The sequence below is a fragment of the Homo sapiens genome, chromosome 7 (genome assembly GCF_000001405.40).
Source record: "Homo sapiens chromosome 7, GRCh38.p14 Primary Assembly".
NCBI classification, from domain to species: Eukaryota; Metazoa; Chordata; class Mammalia; order Primates; family Hominidae; genus Homo; species Homo sapiens.
This window is the reverse complement of record NC_000007.14, coordinates 24,754,589-24,775,765: the sequence shown is the minus strand read 5'-3', so window position 1 is coordinate 24,775,765 and position 21,177 is coordinate 24,754,589. Positions and strand designations below refer to the sequence as shown.

At 43.5% G+C, this 21,177-nt stretch overlaps 2 protein-coding genes across 6 annotated transcripts in view, besides 7 other annotated features; both read left to right on the top strand.

Moving 5' to 3' along the window:
- GSDME (gasdermin E) overlaps positions 1 to 21,177 on the top strand; it is a 97,185-nt gene that overhangs the window by 19,774 nt on the left and 56,234 nt on the right. For 2 of the 5 annotated variants that reach the window (NM_001127454.2, NM_004403.3), the window contains exon 1: positions 17,827 to 18,059. The gene's annotated coding sequence lies outside the window, so the exon portion shown is untranslated. Of the gene's footprint in view, positions 1 to 13,525; positions 13,638 to 14,326; positions 14,436 to 17,826; positions 18,060 to 18,301; positions 18,371 to 21,177 lie in introns of those variants that run through there. The other 3 variants (NM_001438059.1, NM_001127453.2, XM_024446670.2) reach the window with 2 other exon arrangements.
- On the top strand, positions 1,581 to 19,442 carry LOC124901820 (translation initiation factor IF-2-like). The gene is made up of 3 exons (XM_047421177.1): positions 1,581 to 1,748; positions 17,829 to 18,104; positions 18,197 to 19,442. Exons 1-3 carry the CDS (start codon positions 1,581 to 1,583, stop codon positions 18,908 to 18,910), a joined length of 1,158 nt encoding a protein of 385 aa, XP_047277133.1. The 3' UTR covers positions 18,911 to 19,442.
- Positions 6,192 to 6,381: an enhancer, noted in NCBI's record as "active region_25756". NCBI's record gives its function as "activates an Ori minimal core promoter by ATAC-STARR-seq in GM12878 lymphoblastoid cells {active_cell/tissue: GM12878}" and the evidence as "EXISTENCE:reporter gene assay evidence [ECO:0000049][PMID:35858748]".
- Positions 6,402 to 6,531: an enhancer, noted in NCBI's record as "active region_25755". NCBI's record gives its function as "activates an Ori minimal core promoter by ATAC-STARR-seq in GM12878 lymphoblastoid cells {active_cell/tissue: GM12878}" and the evidence as "EXISTENCE:reporter gene assay evidence [ECO:0000049][PMID:35858748]".
- Positions 12,142 to 12,436: an enhancer, noted in NCBI's record as "tiled region #12520; K562 Activating DNase matched - State 5:Enh, and HepG2 Activating non-DNase unmatched - State 23:Low". NCBI's record gives its function as "activates a minimal TATA promoter and a strong SV40 promoter by Sharpr-MPRA in K562 cells, with weaker activity in HepG2 cells {active_cell/tissue: K562 | HepG2}" and the evidence as "EXISTENCE:reporter gene assay evidence [ECO:0000049][PMID:27701403]".
- Positions 17,153 to 17,302: a silencer, noted in NCBI's record as "silent region_18020". NCBI's record gives its function as "represses an Ori minimal core promoter by ATAC-STARR-seq in GM12878 lymphoblastoid cells {active_cell/tissue: GM12878}" and the evidence as "EXISTENCE:reporter gene assay evidence [ECO:0000049][PMID:35858748]".
- Positions 17,803 to 18,032: an enhancer, noted in NCBI's record as "active region_25754". NCBI's record gives its function as "activates an Ori minimal core promoter by ATAC-STARR-seq in GM12878 lymphoblastoid cells {active_cell/tissue: GM12878}" and the evidence as "EXISTENCE:reporter gene assay evidence [ECO:0000049][PMID:35858748]".
- Positions 18,113 to 18,692: a silencer, noted in NCBI's record as "silent region_18019". NCBI's record gives its function as "represses an Ori minimal core promoter by ATAC-STARR-seq in GM12878 lymphoblastoid cells {active_cell/tissue: GM12878}" and the evidence as "EXISTENCE:reporter gene assay evidence [ECO:0000049][PMID:35858748]".
- Positions 18,703 to 18,752: a silencer, noted in NCBI's record as "silent region_18018". NCBI's record gives its function as "represses an Ori minimal core promoter by ATAC-STARR-seq in GM12878 lymphoblastoid cells {active_cell/tissue: GM12878}" and the evidence as "EXISTENCE:reporter gene assay evidence [ECO:0000049][PMID:35858748]".

The following is a 21,177-nucleotide window of genomic DNA, read 5'->3' as shown; positions in this document are numbered from 1 at the left end:
CTAGCTGGGATTACAAGTGCCCGCCACCACGCCCAGCTAATTTTTGTATTTTGAGTATAGACGGGGTTTCACCATGTTGGCCAGGCTGGTCTCAAACTCCTGACCTCGAGCAATCCGCCCAGCTTCAGCCTCCCACCTCCTATAGTGCTGGGATTACAGGCGTGAGCCACCGCGCTGGCCCTTAGCAGAGATTCTGAGAGGCTGCTTGGGGCAGGCAGGTAGGGAAGGAGGACAGCAACCTCAAGGCGTCCCCAGCAGCTCCTTGCAAGCTTGAAGGATCATCAAATCCTGTCACTTCACACGTTTGTGTTGATTTTGCATTCCAAGCGATATGATTTTTAGGCAAATTAGTTAACATATCTGAGCTTTAGCTTCCTAATTAAACGGATATCATCACACTGATTTTATAGTACAGAAATTAGTAAAATAACATATATCAAAAAATTAACTAGCAGTGTACTGGACATAGCAAATGATCAACATCCATCACCTTCCTGTTTCCTGAGTTACTAAGAAATCTGAAAGAAGGTCTTTGCTTTCCTAGACTTACGATAGAGTTCAGAAGTTAATGTGTCCATATAATATTTTGTAACAGCATGAGAAAAATGTACCAACAGACTTGGTATTGGAATTCCTCTTGGGAAAGGAACTGTTTTTGTTGGGAAATTTAATTTGATGAAACACTGCGGGTGAAATATGACACCCCAAAGGTATGGATCACCAGAAGACAAAGAAACCACAGAGATGGCAAAATCCCAGGGCCACCTATTATGCATTATTTAGTTGCTTGTTTTGCTTCCTTGCAAACTCCATTTCCCCCAGCATTCAGAAACATCCCCCATACACACATGCCTTGTGTGGGTAGTATTTGTGTAAATGAAAGACAGGGGCTGGGTTTCACATCTGCATCAGCTCTAAAGAAAGGAAAGTGTTATGGCCGGGTGCAGTGGCTCACACCTGTAATCCCAGCCCTTTGGGAGGCCGAGTTGGGCGAATCATGAGGTCAGGAGTTCAAGACCAGCCTGACCAACATGGTGAAACCCCGTCTCTACTAAAAATACAAAAATTAGCCAGGTGTGGTGGCATGCGCCTGTAATCCCAGCTACTCAGGAAGCTGAGGCAGGAGAATTGCTTGAACCTGGGAGGCAGAGGTTGCAGTGAGCAGAGATCGTACCACCACACTCAAGCCTGGGTGACAGAGCGAGACTCCATCTTAAATAAATAAATATATAATTAATTTAAAAAAATTTTTTTTAAAAAAGGAAGGAGTTGGTAAGCATGAGTAAGTTTGCAGACCCAGGATCTTAAAGCCAGACGTGGCACAAAATTGAAGTTGTGGGAAAAGCATGAAGTATTTTGGGAGGTCCTGGGCCTTCTTCGAGGGCTTAAGGTGAAAGATGGACAGGAAGGAAGGAAGGGAGGGAGGAAGGGAGGGAGGGAGGGAAGAAGGAAGGGAGGGAGGAAGGGAGGGAGGGAGGGAGGAAGGGAGGGAGGGAGGGAAGAAGGGAGGGAGGGAGGGAGAGGGAAGACAGACCAATAAAGTGAATATGATACTGTTCATGTTAAGGAGCAAATGAGTGATGCCAACAGGAAATGACGTGGAAAGAGATGACTTCTTTGGAGCAGCCATGATGGAGTTAGAAAGGAGTTGGAGGATGAGCAGGGCCTGGGAGTCCCTCATCGCTCAGACTGTACTGATACAGGAGTCTCTCAGAAAGACAACATTTTCTCCTCCTAAAGGAAGCAGGGTAAATGTTTTTATATTCTAGATTTCACATACCTTCAAAAGACATTTGTGCATCTAAGAGACACACCTCTATGTAAACACAGGAAAATTTAAAAGAAATTGGAAATTGTGAAAAAGCAAGGATGTGGTTATGCTGGGAACTAGGAAAGATGTGGTTGCAGCATTTGAGCTTTCTGGTAACCTCAGGAAGGAGGGGTCAAGAACTTTCCATAGCAGACAAATGGAGTTAACACTAAGGCAGAAGGAAAGCACCAGATTCTAGAGAGAATTCTTTCAGGGGATGTGTTCATAGATATATTTAAGCTCCCTTACTTGACAAAACCTAAGAGGCCATGCCATCACTATTTTAGAAGACACAGGCTCTTAGAAAGGTGGGGGAGAGAGGGAGCTATACTGACAAGTTACAACATGACTGTGACTCTTAATTAGCCTTAAAAATTCGTTAGATCTGCATAATATATCTGAAGCTGAGAGTCTCCATAAAACATACAAAAATAAGAACTGATATCAAATTGGTAGATGGAAGAATATGAATTGCCATCAAATAGGAATATAATTAAAATGAATTAGTCATAAACCATACTAAAAGGAAGGCTACAAATATTTGGATTTATGATTTGCACTAAAATGTAAAAATAATAATAGTGCTTTATCCTAAGCTATGAAGTAATGTTTCTCAATGTGTTTCAAATGATGATATATATAACTTGAGATGTCTAAATCATAGAACAGAATTAAGGCCCAAATGATTTAAACAGCCATGTAAGAGCAAACACTGAATTGGATTACATACAAGGGCTTAAAGTGCCTAATGGAATTGAGTTTATAAAGAAAAGAAGATGGAAAAACATTTTTTTTATTGTCACTGACGAGTTTCCAGGAGAACAAGACAGACTTTTCAGGGATGGAGGTGAGAAGAACAAGTTTACCTGTTTTTGAGTTTTGGCTTGCATAGCCCACCTTGGGTTAAGAGCATGGTATTCTGTAACAATGCAATTCCCATTGTCTATAATCAGCAACTACTACATCTACCTCACCCCAACCCCATAGGTCCTTGAATGCTATTGGGTGTCTCATTGGCTGTAATTGCCAAGTCCATAGCAATTAGATTCTTTATCTATTAAGATCAAGTCTCATTGAACAGCCTCTTTTATAAATAAAAGATATATTAGCGCACAGAGGAAGAGGCAACCGGGCAACCAGTCAGAAAGAAATACCTTTCTAAGTTCTACAACTAGATTTCTGAAATATTACTGAACTACATGGAAATCCATCCCTATAATCCCAGCTGTCTTTGCAAAGATATAAAACCAAGTTAGTCATGGAAACTACTAGAATCTGACAAGAAATATGCCCATGAAATCAACAGCTATCATTTATTAGGCACCAAATGCATGCCAGGTACTATGCCAATGACTGAACCGAAAGTTAACTCTAACCCACAGCCACAGTTGACTGTTCATTCTTTATTTATGCATTCAACAGATATCTGTGGAGTGCCGACTCTGTGCTAGACATTGTGTGAGACACTGAGGACACAGCAGTGAGCAAAGACAGGCATGACTCTACCCTTTATGGAACCTACATAAAACAGACAGTAAACAAACACACAATCAGTTCATTAATTACAATTAAGAAAATTACTATGAGGAAAGCTATGAGAATAAATAAATGAGACCTTAAACCTGTGGGTCAAAGAATGCTGGGTAGAGAAAGAGAAGATTAAGCTGAGATGTGAAGCTAAGCAAGATGCAGCCACATGAAGAGTTGGGAACAGAAATGGCCCCTGTGGATTCAGCCCCTATGGAAGGCACTCAGCACTTCTGAGGAACTGAGGATGGGCCAGCAAGGCACCTTCCTCACAGAGTGAAGGGAGAGGTGGGCAGGGGCCAGAGGATGCAAGGACTTGGGATTCTGTATTTAGGAGCAATGGGAGAATTCCCATCCCAGGCGTGGGATACCCAAAGCTCGTGTCACCAGCTCATTCTATTTCTGCCGGCAGCCCTCATGAACAAGGGGCTGTTGCGCATGAACTGAAGACAAGGGGACTGCATCAGGTGAAGTTTTTCAAATGGGATGATAATAGCCAGGCCACGACCTCCATTCACGTCAGGGATGCTCTCAGGCTCTCCAGTGGAGCTGGAACAGGATTGACTAGGACAAGACTTAGAGATTCTTCTTAGGTGTCCCTTGCCTCCCTTCCTCTTGGCCTTTCCTTTCTTTAGAAAGGTTCCTGCAGCCAGGCAGGTACGGGAGCAGTTTTGCAGGCATCTGGGACCTTTTCACATCAAGTGAGTGTGGAGCATCCAAGTAAGCCCTCCCAGGACAGTCTTGACACTCTTTTCCAAGCTCTCTGGGGTACCCTTCTGTAACCTATAAATACCAACTAGCGGTACAATCTGTAGAAGTAGAATAGAGGCCCAAAAACTCAGGCAACTTGCTCAAGGTCACACAGCCAGTAAGTGGCAGAACCAGGATGCAAGCCTGGTTACATTCCTTCTACTGCACCAAAGGACCTATTTCAGACGGTGCCAAGCACATATTAGGGGCTCAATGAATGTGTTGAGTGAATTTTCTCTCTTTATCTTCACTCATTCACTTAACTAACATAACACAATATGATAGAATAAAACAATGTAATACAATGTAATATAAATGCTGTTTCTGCTGACTCTAAATAAACAAAAACATTAATGTGTCCACCACAAATTGAAGAGCTCATAATAATCTGACTGAAAGGTCTCCTTTCCGGGGAGGCTTTCCTTGACCACTATATCAAAAATTCCAAAAGTTGCCCCATGTAACTCTTTGGCCTTTCCTTTATTTTGTTCCTTTTAGCATTTACAGTTACCTGACATGCCTTATATTTGTTTTTTTCAAGATGTTTTCTTTATCTTTGGCTTTCTGAAGTTTCAATACGATACGCCTAGCTTTAGTTTTTTTGTCATTTATCCTGCTTGGTGTTCTCTGATATTCCTGGGTCTGTGGTTTGCTGTCTGATGTTAATTTGGGGAAATTCTGTCATTGTTGCTCTAAATATTGCTTCTGGTTCTCTCTCTCTCTCTTCTTATATTTCCATTACGCTAATGTTACACCTTTTGCAGTTGTCCCAGTTTGGGAATATTCAGTTCTTTTTTTTTTTTCAGCCTTTTTTCTTTTTGCTTTTTGGTTTTGAAGTTTCTATTGATGTATACTCAAGCTCAGAGGATTTCTTCTTTTCTCAGTGGTGTCCAGTCTACGAATGAGCCCATCAAAGGCATTCTTTATTTCTGTTACAGTATTTTTGATCTCTAGCATTTTTTGGTTCTTTCATAGAATTCTCATCTCTCTGCTTATATTACTCTTAGGTTCTTTCTGGGGTGATTTCTGGCACCAACCAGTTCTCTGATTCTGCAATTCTCTGACACCAGCTGGGCGTTCAACAATTCAATCCCATTCTGAAATCAACTCCCAGAGTTAGCATAGACCCCACAGGTGAAGAGCTGAGTCTTACAAGTTGCAAGTATCAGGTTTCCAAGTAACCCACACTTCTGTGTAACCGGGCTGCAAATGTGGCGATTCTCACGACTTTCTCCTCAGGTTCAATAATTCTCTGGAATGACTCACAGAACTCAGGAAAGGCTATACTTACTATTAACAGTTTATCATAAAGGATACAACTCAGCAACAGTCAAACAAAAGAGATGCATAGGGCAAGATATGGGTGGAGGGAGGAAGACAAAGCTTCCTGTCCTCTCCAGGCACACCCAGTACCTCAATGTGTTCACCAATGTGGAAGCTCTGTGAACCTCATCATTTAGGAGTGTTTATGGAGGTTCCATGATGTAGGCATGGTTGATTAAATCGTCAGCCATTGGTGATTGAATTCAATCTCCAGCCCCTTTTCCCTCCCTGGGGCTTGGGTGTAGGGCTGAAAGTTCCAACCCTCTAATCACATGGTTTGGTCTTTCTGGGACAAGTCCCATTCTGAAGTCATCTATGGACCCTCAGCCAAGAGCCATGTCATTAAACACCAAAAACAAACTTACCGTGCAGGAGTTCCAAGGGTTTTAGGAGCTCTGTGCCAGGAACCAGGGACATAGACCAAATCTATTTTATTATGCCAAAATTATCCATCTGTTCTTGCATGTTGTCTACTTTTCCCATATTAATTATAGTGAATTTTTAATTCCTGGGCTGATAATTTCAACATCCCTGCCATATCTGTGTCTGGTGCTGATGCTTGCTTTGTCTTTTCAGATTGCATGCGTGTGTTTTTGTTTTGTTTAGTTTTTTACTTTTCAGCATGCCTCGCAATTTTTTGTTGAAAGCTGAACATGATGTACTGAGAAAGAGGAACTGTGGAAAATAAGCTTTTAGTGATGTGGTGGAGAGGTATAGGGCTGGGGGAGGCGTTCTATAGTCCTATTAATCAGTCTTTAGTGAGCCTATGTCCTGGGCTGTGAAACTTAGTTCCCTCCCCCCATTATGTGGGGCAGAATGGCTAGAGGGGACTGGAGTTGAGTTAGGCTCTGATAAAACCCCAATCGTTTAGGCTTTGGTGAAACAGTTTCTCTTGAAGACAGGCCTCGTTAAGAACAGAATGCTCTGGCATGTTTCAAAATGGCTACGTTCCCCGCCTCCCGCTGCAAGAATGAGGGGAGTTTTTCTGATATTCCCTGTGAGAACCTGGTTAGAGCTCCTAGAGGTAAAACTCACAGAAGTGTAGAGAGTTTCTAACTCTCAGACTTGTCCACCCTGAGCTTCCAGCAGTTCATCAGTTACAGTTCAGGGTTTCCCATGCAAGCAATGGTTCCTGTGGTTTCTGCTCTGGTAAGTTGTGAGTCTCTGAATCTATGTCTGTCTCTCCAAGACAATGGTTTTTCTTGTGATCTCATTTCTCTGACAATTCTAAGAAGAGTTGTTGACTTTGAGTTTGTTCAGCTTTTTAACTTGTTAGGATAGAGCAACGACTTCCAGGTCCCTTTCAGGTTGTACCAGGAACAAGAAGTATATTTTTTGCCCATTAGAGCATGAGCTCTATGACAGCAGTCACTTAGGTCTGTTTGTGTCTGTTATTCCTGGCTGTATCTCCAGTGCCTAGGACAGTGCCAAGCACATACCAGGGGCTCAATGAATGTGTTGAGTGAATTTTCTCTCTTTATCTTCACTCATTCACTTAACTAACACAGTATGATAGAATAACACAATATAATACAATGTAATATAAATGCTGTTTCTGCTGGAACTGCTGATGAAAGCCATTTCATAAGCAAATTAATTTGGTGAACCAGATTGCTTTAAGGTGGTGCTCCCAATCTTTGTCATAGCATGGCACACATAGAAAATAAAAGCGTTCATTCAGCAACCAGCCAGAGGCTGACGTTTCAAGGGTTGACAACCTCAGTCTCTAGTTCCACTTATCACTTGTGTGCTGTACCACTTGGGAACCTCTACTTTGAGGGTAACACTTAACTTACTGGAGATAACAATCCATTTGGCTAGGCCCATTTGAATGGGTCCCAAGGACTAAAGAGAGCTTAGGGCAAGAAGGGGGAAAACGGTGTAGATAAAAGATCTAAATGACTCCTCCCCGTTGACATGCAAGGCTGTTCCCCCGTCTGGTCTCAGCTGATCTTTACAATCTCAGTTCCCTTCCCTCCGCTACACCTTACATGGCATTTCACCTGGCTCCCCTTAATGCTATTCCCTCTCCCCCTATGCTAAATCTTACCATTCTTCTATTACCTCCAGGCACAGCCCAGCAGGTGTTTCTCCGTTGTCCTAAGCAGAATCCTCTCCCCTGCACACCAGAGTTTTTGGTCCACGCACTGCAGTTGAGTTTTTTACTCCAAATTTTAAAGTTTGAGTAACCTCAGAGACCGAGTTTAACCTTTAATTTTCAGATGAAACACAAGGGATCAGAGAAGTAGAGGGACTGTGCTGACCACAAAACCAGCTGGGGGCAGCCTTGGGACATGGGTGTCCTGCCCCTCTGCTCTTTGTTCTGCTCAGTTTAATTTCTTTGCTAATGATGACACTTGATAATTTATTAATGGGTGAGAACGGATTCATTTCAGAGTCTATATGATCGGTAGCAACAACCAGATGGCCCTTAATAAAACATTAATAAAGCAAAGGCAGATGGCACTTAATAAAGTATTACACAAACATGCCCGAAAGCCATCAAAAGCATTTTTTCTGCACTTTCTAATAATGGAGAGTTATTAGACAAGATATAAAAGGGGAAATTGGCCTCTAAGCTGTGATGTAAGAAAATGTCTTTAAGTTTTCTGCAGAATTTTGGAAAATACAAAATTTTTAATTTAACTTTATCCCAGATTTCTTAGCCCTACAATGACTGGTTTGTAACAAGTTTGTAAGAAATGACAAAAACTTTAGTAGAAACAAAAAAAAAAAGGTTCTACAACTCCATTTTCCTTTGAAAATCCAGCCAAAGCCATGCTACCCAACTTTTCTCACTTTTTTAGAAAAACAGACTTCTAGAATTCATAAAAATAATGTAAAAATTCTAGATAGAGGTTTCTTTTGCAGTGATGGCGGGGGAGGGAGGAGAATGAGACTGGGCATACATATACAGAAACTTCTATTGATAGTTTTATTTTTTAACTGGGTAGTGGGTACATGTGCTCATTATGTTATTCTTATATACCCTTATATGAGACAAATATTATTTCATGATAATATTTTTTGTTGAGATGGAGTCTAACTTTGTCACCCAGGCCGGAGTGCAGTGGTGCAATCTTGGCTCACTGCAACCTCTGCCTCCCAGGTTCAAGCGATACTTCTGCCTCAGCCTCCTGAGTAGCTGGGATTATAGGTGCCCACCACCACGCCTGGCTAATTTTTGTATTTTTAGTAGAGACGGGGTTTCACAACGTTGGTCAGGCTGGTCTTGAACCCCTGACCTCAGGTGATCACCCCGCTTTGGCCTCCCAAGTTGCTGGGATGACAGGTGTGAGCCACTGTGCCTGGCCCATAATAATTTTTTAAATGTTAAAAATAACATCTCATGCCCATTTGAATGGCGATCATTAAAAAATCAGGAAACAACAGATGCTGGAGAGGATGTGGAGAAATAGGAACGCTTTTACACTGTTGGTGGGAGTGTAAATTAGGTCAACCGTTGTGGAAGACAGTGTGGCAATTCCTCAAGGATCTAGAACTAGAAATACCATTTGATTCAGCAATCCCATTACTGGGTATATACCCAAAGGATTATAAATCATTCTACCATAAGGACACATGCACACGTATGTTTACTGTGGCACTGTTCACAATAGCAAAGACTTGGAACCAACCCAAATGCCCATCAATGATAGACTGGATAAAGAAAATGTGGCACATATACACCATGGAATACTATGTAGCCATAAAAAAGGGTGAGTTCATGTCCTTTGTGGGGACATGGATGAAGCTGGAAACCATCACTCTCAGCAAACTAACACAAGAACAGAAAACCAAACACCACATGTTCTCACTCATAAGTGGGAGTTGAACAATGAGAACACATGGACACAGGGAGGGCAACGTCACACACCGGGGCCTGTCGGTGGGTGTGAGTCTAGGGGAGGGAGAGCATTAGGAGAAATGCCTAATGTAGATGATGGGTTGATGGGTGCAGCACACCACCATGACACATGTATACCTGTGTAACAAACCTGCACATCTGCACATGTACCCCAGAACTTAAAGTATAATGAATAAATAAATAAATAAATAAATAAAGTGTTGTGCAGGGTCTGGATTTTATTAAAAGCAAAATGAATGAGTATAGGCTGACTGTGAAAACAGGCAAACATGCACACACACACACACACACACACACACACACAAATAATGTAATTTAATATCATGGCCATAGAAATCACTAGACTGAACTACAGGAGTTGTTTTAGGAGTCACTAACCTAGAGAACATTTAAGAACAGAAGAAATAATCTGTTTTCAGTGAATGAATATTAATTTACCTAAAGGTAAAAATATGGACTTTGAGGTTTATGTTTAAATGTTTGATGTCTTCCCCAGATTTACCCATTAGGCAGTAATCAAAAGTTAGGGCATGGAACTCAGATCTGAGTTCAGATCCTCATATATATTGTGCCAGATTTATAGGCTGCCTCTCTAGGATTCAGTTTTTGCCATCTGTAAAATAGGGACAATAATAATTTATAGAGTTGTACAAAGATCCAATGAAATGATGTATATAAAGGATCATGCTGGACAAAAATAAGCAATCCAAAAAATGTGGGTATTATAGATATCTAACTTGGTGCTATTAAAAGAAAAACTTTAGATAAATGAACTTTAACAGAGTTTAATTGAGCAAAGAATGATTCTTGCCTCAGGCAGCTCCCAGAACCAGAATAGGTTCAGAGCAACTCTGGGGCTGCCACATGTCTGGATAACATTGAAGGACAGAAAAAGGGCAGTGACGTACAGAAAAGGGGAGTGACGTACAGAAACAGTTGGTTTGGGCACAGCTGCACAGCTGCCTTATTTCAACATTGGGTTGAGCAGTTGGCCTGTGATTGGCTGAACTGTAACCTAACACATCCAGTGAGGTTACAGTTCACTATACCCGGAGCAACCTTTAGGCTGAACTTGAAATACTAAGGAGGGAGCTTTAGGCTAAACAATTTAACAGTGCCCATTGTTCTAACTAAGCTAAAAATAGCGAAGTTGTGGAATAATTTCATATTAATTTTCTTTTTGTAAACTTTTTGTCCATTTTCGACAAGAAAGGATCCGTATCGACATTTAAAACTTAATGGGATTGTTTATTGCACTGTGACTTCTCTAGGGGCTATTTATACCTCAAGTCTATTTCTAATTCTAGAATGTAAGGCTAATCATTCCTAGAGAGGAGGTCCAGCATTACCCGGGGCCAGGCTTTTTGGTGAGCAAGGAGAGGTGAGAAATGGATTTGGGGAACTTTGAAGCATGCTTGCTCAGCCTTCTCTGTGAGGCCCTAATCAAAGGCTGGTCTTTCTATGGTATGTTTCCCCAAAACTCCCTCTGCCAAGTCAGAATTGCTGGGACCTTTTAAAGCTTTTTCAGCACGTCACTCCTCTAGTGGTTGTAAGCTTCTTAAAGGCAGGAATCCAGATTTATTCAGGTACACAGTAGGCACTCAACAGTATTTGTAAAATGGAATGGAATTCCAGGGAATCAGAAACTAATAATCATAGCTACCATTTATCAAGTATCTGCTGGTATATCTAATCACAGTAACTCAGTGAGCTAGGCGTGATTATTCCCACTTTCCAGATAAGGAAGTGGAGGTTTGGAATAGTGGTGACAGCAAGTAAGAGGCAGAGTTGGAACTCAAACGTAGCATTTGCACCAACTCCAAAATCATCAAACAGCCATGTCTTAGTTGGCTGCCCACACTGACACTGGGATTTGCTTGGTTTGGGGTGGTGTTGATTTTTTATTGTTTTTTAATATAAGAAAGTTAGCAAAAGAAGATGGATTTACTTGCAGAAAGCAAGCTGACTTGATTTCTGAAGTCCCTGTGTGCCCATTCCCACTGGATGTCTAGACTCCTTACAGAGATGGAGCCTCAGAATGAAATGACAGGTACAGTTCTTTGGGGGAGAAAAAAAGAAGCTTGAAGGTTTCAACATATAGTATTAGAAAAAAATTCCATTTCTACCAACAGTTTGAAACGAAAGCTTTCATGATATCACAGGTGCCTAAGGTGACAGAAGCTCTACTTGCAGGGTTGTTTTCTTTTCCATCATTCAGACCAAACACATTTATTACACTGGTGCTTTTAGCAATCAGTCAAGATTGAGTCAGGTGCCAGGATAATTTTCCTTGCCAAATTGCTTTTTCCATTGCAATTAGTCTTTTTAAGGACCTTACCAAACAACAAGTGTGTACACAATTCTCATACTCCCCTTCCAATTATAACTCAGCTAAGAAGTTGTATCAGTAATAAATTGTTATAGATGAAAACATCAACCACACCCACTCTATCACCAGTCTCTCCCTGTATTCTTAGATAACTCTTGGAATCAGGTGTAAGATTAAGAACGGCTCGTTTTAAAAAACAGAATGTATTATACAATCCAAAAATATGTCATTTAAATCAGTTCAGCTGTCTGGTTTACCCTAGTTGGGATTCTTTACAAAAGCTCTGGGCTTGGCCATCACCTATTTGCCCTCTAAAATTATTTTGTACAAAGCTGTGTCGGCCACTGCTCTCGAAACCCAGTTCCTTTTTTTCCGGAGCACAAAGACTACATTTTCCAGCCTGTCTTGCAATTAGGAGAGACTCTGTGACTGATTTCTGGCCAAAGGAAGGTACAGTAGGCTCCCTTTATCTGCAGTTTCACTTTTTGTGGTTTCAGTTACCCACTATCAGTCTCCATCCAAAAATATTAAATGGAAATTTCCAGAAATAAGCAATTCATAAATTTTACATTTGTGCTATTCTGAGTAGCATGATGAAATCTCATGCTGTCTTGCCCTGTCCTCTCCAATGACACAAATCATCCCTTGTCCAGCATATCCATGCTGTCTACACGCCTGCCTGCTGGTCACTTTGTGGCCATCTAGGTTATCAGATTGGCTGTCATGACATTGCAGTGTTTGAGTTGGATCACCCTTATTTTATCTAGTAATGGCCCCTCTGTGCAATAGTAATGATGCGGGCAATTGGGATATTCCAAAGAGAAGCTGTAAAGTGAGAAAGTGAAAGTTCTCAATATGGAAAGAAAAAAATTGTATGCTGAAGTTGCTAAGATCTATTTCAAGAACCAAATCTCTCTGTGAAACTAAAGAAGAGAAAAGAAATTTGTGCTAGTTTTGCTATCTCACCTCGAACTGCAAATGTTATGGCCGCTATGTGATGTAAGTGCTTGCTTAAGATGAAAAAGGCATTGAATTTGTGGTGGAAGACATGAGCAGAAACGTGTTCCAGTTGATCCTGGCTGGGTTTGGTGCCATCCTCCATTTCAGGCATCCACTGGGAGTGTTGGAATGCATCCTGTACCCGAAAGTGCCGCTCCCATAAAAATCTCCCATGAGGGAGTCTCCGGGTTCTTTCCTTATCTATCTGCCCGAGGTGTCCATGCTCAGGGCAACCTCAACAACCTGGAGCTGAGCCTCCCCCAGCCTGATTCCTGAAGGAATGAGGACTGTGGTTCTTCCTCCCCACCCACCCCACCCAAAACCTAGAAGTACCTTAGTCAGACTGTTTACCGAGTAGGAAATAAGCTACTATTGTATTTGAGCCATTATAATTTGGGACTTCATTTTAGCAGTTAGCTTACCCTAACAAGGACAGCTGATCATTGTACTTCTCATCCTCTATCCTTATTGTTTATCTGTCTGCCTTTCCCGCTATACTACAAAGCCCACAGACCTGGAGGGCATGAAGCACATTCTCGTTGGTCACCTTATATCCTCAGTACCTAATATGGCACCCAGCACCTAGTAGGTCACTAATAAATATTTGTTAAAAAGATGTTAGGTGCATGGGCTTTACTTCTCTATGCTGGGTATAGCTCACCTGGATACTGGACAATATTTAAAAATAACGATAATCAGATGAAAAAAGTTTGTATATCTCTGGATCATATTATTTTGAATATTTCTGTAAATTGGACATCTGGTGGCTGACTACTGGTATTCATCACAAATTTCCTTAATGCTGATAATAACGTATGTTTCTCCATGAACAATGGACAAACAATACAGAAGTTTTTACTAACTTTGTTTATGTAATGCCACTTTCTTTTATGGCTTTTTTTTTTTTTTTGACACACAGTTTCTGTCACCCAGGCTGGAGTACAGTGGCACGATCACAGCTCACTGCACCCTCAACTTCCCAGGCTCAGGTGATTCTCCTGCATCAGCCTCCCGAGTAGCTGGGACTACAGGTATGCACCATCACACTGGCTAATTTTTTGCATTTTTAGTACAGATGGGGTTTCACCATGTTGGCCAGGCTGCTCTCTAACTCCTGGGCTCAACTGATCTACCCACCTCAGCCTCTCAAAGTGTTGGGAATACAGACAGAAGCCACTGCGCCTATCCTGTAATGCCACTTTCTTTCATGAAAACAAGGGCGGCAGATAGAAGATGTCTGGAAATTCTTTGCTGTTTCTCCCATTGAGAGGTAGAATATACCACCCCTATCTTTGAATCTAGGCTTGTTGTGGAAATTACGTTCTGGGTGTTTAGAGATTATGTCATAAGACTTCTAGCTTCTGCCTTGTTTCTTTTTCTTGAACATTTGCTTTTGGAGCCCTGAGCCTCCACTATAAGAAGTCTGACTTCCCAAAAACCACCATGATGAAGAGGCCACATGTAGGGCTCTGGTTGATAACCCTCAAGTTCAGTCCCACCCTCAAGGCATCCCTGCCAGTGCACTAGACATGAGATGCTATGGTCTGAATGTTTGTGTTCCCCCAAAGCCATATGTTGAAACTTAATCACCAATGTGATAGTTTCAGGAGGTGGGGCCTTTGGGATGTGATTAGGTCATGAGGTGGAACCCTCATCAATGGGATTAGTGCCCTTATAAGAGACTTAGGGACTTGTTTTGTTTGTTCTTCCCTTCCACCAGGTGTGGACACATTGAGAAGTCACTATCTATGAACTAGGAAGCAGGATCTCACCAGACATCGAATCTGCTGATGCCTTCATCTTGGACTTCTCTCTCAGCCTCCAGAACTGTGAGAAATAAAGTCCTGTTGTTTATAAGCCACTCAGTCTATGGTATTTTATTACAGCAAACCGAATGGGCAAAGACATGGGTGAAGTTATCCAGGACCCTCCAAACCAGGCCATTCACCTTCACCAGCTAAATTCCACTGAGTGACCCCAGTCAGTGCACATGGAACAGAAGAGTCACTCAGCTGAGCCCTGCTCAAAGCCCTAACCTACAAAATTGTGAGATATAGTAAAGTGGTTGTTGTTTCAAGCCACTAAGTTTTGGGGTAGTTTGTTATACAGCAGTTGATAATTGGGACAGCAAATTATTTCACATTTCCTTGTTTGTCCAATAATATTTGCATTGAGACTTTTGATTTTGACAATATTGGTTGATCATTTGCTAGCTGCCAAGTAATTTCAGTTCTTCTCCTATCTGTATCCGTGCCTTGCAATTGAATAAGAGAAGGTTGGGACACCAAGAGAAACAGATTTAATTCTGGACCATATTTAACCCTCTATAAAGCTTTTTATTTTAAAGCAGTAATTAGTAATATGCATTGGCAATACAGTCTCCAGTTTAAAAAGCACTTTTGGGATTTAGGGAGGTAAATGAAATCAGTTTTAAAATATATATCAATGTATGCCAAATTTTATTTTAATTTATGTTAGTAGCTATGTTCCTCTGGGAAGCAATCAATATGGTAAAAGGCAAAATTATGCATATGTGAAAAATGTAGTCTTAATTTAAAGGCAACTTTAGCTGAAAAGTAATTAATAAAGGCAAGGAAACTAATTTTTATTGAGTGCTACTATGGGCTGAGTACTTTATATAATCTCATGACAATGTTATAAGTAATTTTTAAATGGGAAGTTATACAATTTGCCTAAAGTCACTCAGCTGGTAAGTGGTAGGCTGGATTCTACCCAAATCTGATGGATCCAAAGTCTGTTTTTCTCTCCTTTGCAGAGGTTATTAATCTGAAAGCGTCCAGGTCTCCAAATGTGGTTCTCAAGGAACTAGGAAGCAATTATGGCAGCCATGCAGAGCTGGTTTATTGGTGTATTCATTTACGAAATAAATCCCGGTAATGAGTTTTATTGACTTTTGCTGCCCTTTGCGTATTTTTCCTTAGCAAGAATCTAGGCATAGGGTAGGAAATACACGACACCCAATAGATGTGTTTCAGAAGTTCTGTAAGTTGAAACATAGTTTATATAACGAATCTTTTTGAAAGCAGATGCTGCTTACCATCATCATTAGGACCACTCCAATTGATCTCCTGTGAGATTTTCTTTCCATAGCCCTCCATTTCCTCAAAGGGGATATATCTATATGGAATAAGAAGATTGGAGTTCCACGTTTTCTTTTTATTTACTTTTTTCCAATTGGGCTAAAAGTTTCCATGTTGTATATGTTCATCTGAAATCTTCAAATAGTCTATTTAACAATAATAATAAGCACAATTATTTTTTTAAAAAAGTTATGGCTGTGCCAGAACCTTTTCATCCCCCCACCATTGGACAGGGAGAGCAGCAGACTGGGGTCAGGTGAGATCTTGAACACAAGTCATCCCTCTCTCCCAACACAGACCATGCTCCTACACTGCTTGGGTGGGGGGACCCCTACTGCACTTCTGCACTTCTTATTTTCTGTTCTGGAGAGTCTACCCTATGGTGGGTTAAAACTCAGATGGTGCTGAACAACCTGGGTTAAAATCTTGGCTCTGTCTCTTCCCAGTTGTATGAGCATTCCAGTTTGTGCCTCAATTCCCTCATTTGTAACTTGAAACCCCCAAATAGTTGTAAGGATTAAATGAGCCAATCATTGCATGTAATGTACTCAGAAGCATGCTTGGTGACAGTAGACAGAAAGTGCTACATAAATAATAGCAGCTGATATTATTACTATCTTCCTCGGGCATTTAATTAAAAGACTAGGCAGGACAAAAAAAAAAGTGACAGAATTTGAAGCCACTTAGTAACTGTTGCATCAAAAAGTTCACCCACTCTGAATTACAAGTGGTAACTATCTAGATAGAGGACTGGGGCTTTTTGGGGTGGGAACCTGATGAGTATGCTGTTTATGAGGATATTCTTAAGGTCAGTACCCTAGCGGGGGATGCAATAATCTCTGGCAACAAGCCAGAATCATCACCGTATAATTTTATAATGATAGAGAACCAATAGCATACATGAAAAGTCTCTTGACAGGGCTGGGATTCTTTCTTTCGTCCAACATCTCATCACATTAGCAAATCAGGGGCCTACCACCATGGACCATTTCGAACCACTTCTTCATCCAATAACCACTAATTGTGCACTTATTTTGCGCTGGGTACTGCAAGGATGTGTACTGCCCCACAGTCTAGGTGGAGAAACAAACAAAAGGATTCATTTCTTAATTCAACAATTATTTACTGGATAGCTACCATGTGTCAAATCCTAAACTAGGTGCTGGGCATAGGGAACAAAACAGACCAGCTGCCCTCATGCTGCTGACATTTTACAGGAGAGGATAATACATGAAATAAGAGGCACACAGTCTATCAGATGGTGGTGAGTGCAAAGAGAAAAATAAAGCAGAGGAGGAACTAGGAGGTGTTCCCGTGGGTGGGTGGGCAGCACTTTTAATTTGGATAGTCAGGAAAGGCTTTACAGTGAGGTGGATAATTGCAATCTAGAGATATGTTTAAAGCATAGCGGGGCCCAAGGGAAAGCGCTGCCGGGCTTCTCTACCTGCCCTCCCCGAACAGCCTTTAAGACAGCCACACAACTCCATACTGTGTGAGCTCTCGCAGGGCAGAAATTTCATTTTCTCTTACTCTTTGCTCTCAGCTTAGTAGAGAGCATTGCACAGTGAAGACGATACACTGACTGAAAGTGTCACTGAGCAATGGGCTCGTAACCTGAGGCACACAGAAACCAAACTGTGGCACAGGCTTTTGAGAAAAGAAAAACTTCTATTGCCAGTCAACTGGCAAGGAGACAAGAGGCAAAGCTTAAATCTGTCTTCTGGACCTGGGAGCGGGTCAGGCGTTTTTGGCATTTCTAACCAGTCCCAGGTGATGCCAATGCAGCCTTCTGCGGGGCGCGCGGTGTTCACAATTAGAAAGCTTTCCCTCTTGCACACGCCCGGGAGATTTTGGCTCTGCCTCGCTGTAACAACTTAAGTAATGGTTAATCGGTTTCAGCTGGTCCTAATGTTACAAAAAGAGCTAATATTTAAGTCAGTTCATCAGAAAGCAATGTTTGAGCACCAGCTATGCTGAGATTCCCTCGTTCAGTATTCGTTGAGCACCCAGTGTGTGAGAGCGCCTGGTTTTGCCCTCAAGGAGCTTAGAGTGGAGTTTACAGGAATGAATCACTGATTAGCGGCAGGCCTAAGTGTGGGCACTGTCGCACCACACACCCAGATACTACTCCAGGCACGGGCATTAGGGGCTCCCACAGGCTGGACAGGCCTTGGACTTTCCTGGTTGAACCGTGAGGCCGCGGTGTCAGTCCACACTCCACTGTGGGTGGCGGGTTCGGCCCCGCGAGGAGGCGCCGCTCTCAAACCCCACGGTCCCGCGCAGCGAAGAGGCGAGGCGGCCGCGGAAGGCAGGCGCAGCCCACTCTTCCCGAGAGGCCCCGACATCTCCCGGGTGAGTCCCGAAAAGCGCGCGGGGACTCCGGCTGAGCGCTGGGCCGTCAGCAACCCGGCTCCCAGAGAGTCACACGAAGGAGGGGAAGCGGCTCTCTCTGGGGCTTCTGGGAGGTCTGGCCCGGGCCCCTCCCGCAGCCTCCGGCGGCCAGTCCCGCGGCTCTGGGGCGCCCGGACCGAGCAAAGGTCCCGGCGGGCGGGCCCTCTCTCCGCCCTCCCCAAGCGCCCGCCCCCCGCCGGCCCAGCGCAGGCTCCTCCGACTCCGCCAGCGCAGGGGGCGCGGCTGCCGGGGACCCAGCAGCGGGCGCGCGGGTAAGTGCGCGGCGGGCGCGGGCTGCGGGATCCGCTCCGGGCTCCACTCCGGATCCTCTTTGGTCTGTTTGGGTGTCCCGGGCCGGGGGCAGCCGAGGCCGCGCGGCGCTTTCTCTCTGGGCCACCCTCCCCTCGCTCCTTCCTAGGGGAGACGAATCGATTGGCTGCCCGGCCGCCGGAACGGCAGGTCCCGTCGCTCCCCTCGCCTCCCGCATTCCCGGCCCGGTCCCCTCCCATCACCGCGTCCCGCCCCAACTCGCAGTCAGCATCCCCTTCCCATCCTCTCCCCGTCCCCGCTGCCACTTCCTTCCTTGGATGTTGGAAGCGCAGCTGGTATTTTCGTTCTCCCAACCCCCCAAACCCCCCCTCCCCATTCGTTCATCCTTTGTGTTCCGGTCTCTTCTCTGGGTGCTGCGGAGGCTCTCCCGGCTCGGGGGCGTGTGTGCAGGGAGGCGGACCGCGGAACAGATACGGAGTTCAGTCTCTCTGGACGGAAAAAAGTCCCCCTCCACTTTGCTCCGGTATCTAGAGAGCTCCTAGCTTGGGGAGGAGGCCAAGCCCCACTCGGTGTGCCTGGCATGCGCTGGAATGGCTCTCAAGAGCTGCCCGCGTGGCTTCCTTTGGTCTCCATTTGAGGACCTCTGACCCTTTCCAGAGCCGCTTGCCGTCTGCACCCCGAGGGGAAAGACTAGAGGGCACCTCTTAGAAAAGCGCTGGTTGTGGACTGAACACACCGACCACCCACTCCTCCAGAGTCTACTCTGTCCAGAATAGTGAATGGGATAATGAAAGGGATGGATGGCTTGCGGTCGCTGTCCTCGAGACGCAGGCAGGTGGGGCAAGTCCAAGTGGAATGAAAGGAGTGCTGTGGGGTTGGAGAAGCAGCTGAAGAGTGAAATTAATTGTCTTCACAATCTACCACCACCAAGCTCTTTTTCTAAAGGAGAAGTTGAGCCCAGACCATTAGGTAGATCTGAGAGAGAAAGGGCCCAACCCCCTAGCCACGGTCCCTTGGCTAGGTTCTTTGTTATTGTTGAGAGAGGGTCTCGCTCTGTCACCAAGGCTGGAGTGCAGTGGCACTATCCTAGCTCACTGCAGCCTTGAATTCCTGGGCTCAAGGGATCCTCCCATACACCCGTAGCTGAGACCGCAGGTGCCTGCCACCACACCGCATCTTCTCTATTCTTACCCAGACTGCCCTCTGTTACCCACTCCACTTCCCCAAAGCCTTTGGCGCCTCACTCTCCTTCTCCTTTCGAGCTCCTGCCTGTCTTATGACCATCATTGCGTTCACATACCGATTTTTATTTTAGAAAGAAATGATGAAATATTAATTTGTCTTCTCATTAAAAATGAGCTCAGGTACTGGGCTGTAGGGATAGGAAGATAAAAGATGCCACCTCTGTTCTAATTTAATAGACCCAATTGCACTTTGCTATCTAGAAAACTAAAACTAATTCAAAGTATGCTGAAATTGCTAACAATGAGACAAGTAGACAAGTACAGCCATGTTTCGTCTCCCCAGATAGAAAGGAAATGACACATGTTCCATAGCAATGATTTCTGTTTCCACCGTAACTGAGGTTTACCTTTTTCAAGGGCACTTTCTTATGTTACAGAATGAGTCATATGAGGCCCACATTAGAACAGAAAAAAAGCTGAACAGGGAGCCAGCAGAGTAGAGTGGTCAAGGGCACAGGCTTTGGAGTCAGGTGGACCTCGGGTGGAATCTTGGCTCAGCACTGATTCTCTATGTGATGTTCAATCCCCTCCAGTCAAAGACCTCCAGGAACACACTGTCAGTTCAATAAGTTGGTTTATTTCTCCTTAAAGTGAGGGACACCATGGGGAACCCTGAGATGTCTCAATAAGAGGTGTTAGAAAGGACAGAGGATTTGGGCATGTAGTAGGTGATTTGGGGAAAGAGGGCTTTGCTCTGAATTGGATGTGGTCAGGGAAGCAGGGGAAGTTCTGTGATTGAGTATCCTCGTAAATCTCGTCAAAAATGAGAGAAGGCCAGAGAGAGGCTATAGCTGTGATTGGTCAGGAAGCAGCAGTCACTCATTAGGACTGCTAATGATTGGAAGGGGGGTGGTATTTGATCATTTTTGTGCTTTGAACGTGTTCATGTTTTGTCTGTGTTCAGGCATGATTACAGAGAAGCCTTGTTTTCATGTTGATTTATCATGACAAGACTGGCCTTGCCTGATGTTGATGCTCTGTGCCATTATTCATGGTCAGCAACACCAGGGCCTGATAGTTCCAGGCCAGTTCCCTGATAGGGCTGCTTCTTTCTTTGCTGTGATCTTGGGCAAGTTACTTAACATCTTTGAACCTCAGCTTCCTCACACTGCCTACTTCAAAGAGTTATTATGAAGATTAAATAAGGAAATGTGTATAAGGCAGTAAGACCCATGCCTGGAACATAGCAGATACTCAACAAACAGTTGCTCCTCTCTTTGTCTAGAGTATTTGATGTTGAAGTTTCTTTTCTAGAACTCTTCAGGCAGAGGCCCAGGGTTCAACCAGAGCTGCTTTTAAGAAGAATCCTGAATGGAGTGTGAGAAAGAATGAGGTTTCTCTTCTAATTTAAAAACTAGATAACTCCATGACTGAATCAGTCTTAACAGGCAGTAGTGAATATAGTTATCTTCTCCTGCAGTCATTACCTTGGCAACTATTTTTAAGATTCTTTGTTCCCAGTGGCTCCAGTTGGCTGTGTGCTTTGCTAACTTTGTGTCATTGTCCTGCTTTCTTGGTGTCTGCCCCACAAGGTCTCTTGTCCAAGAGTCTGACTCAAGCTAGGA

Excerpts from the sequence above, each read along its gene's own strand:
- LOC124901820 (XM_047421177.1), top strand. The coding sequence starts at position 1,581 with ATGCCAACAGGAAATGACGTGGAAAGAGATGACTTCTTTGGAGCAGCC. Across the intron at positions 1,749-17,828 it reads CTCCTCCTAAAGGAAGCAGG|ATACTACTCCAGGCACGGGC; the intron begins GTAAATGTTTTT and ends CCACACACCCAG. Across the intron at positions 18,105-18,196 it reads CTCCGGCTGAGCGCTGGGCC|CCTCCGGCGGCCAGTCCCGC; the intron begins GTCAGCAACCCG and ends CCCCTCCCGCAG.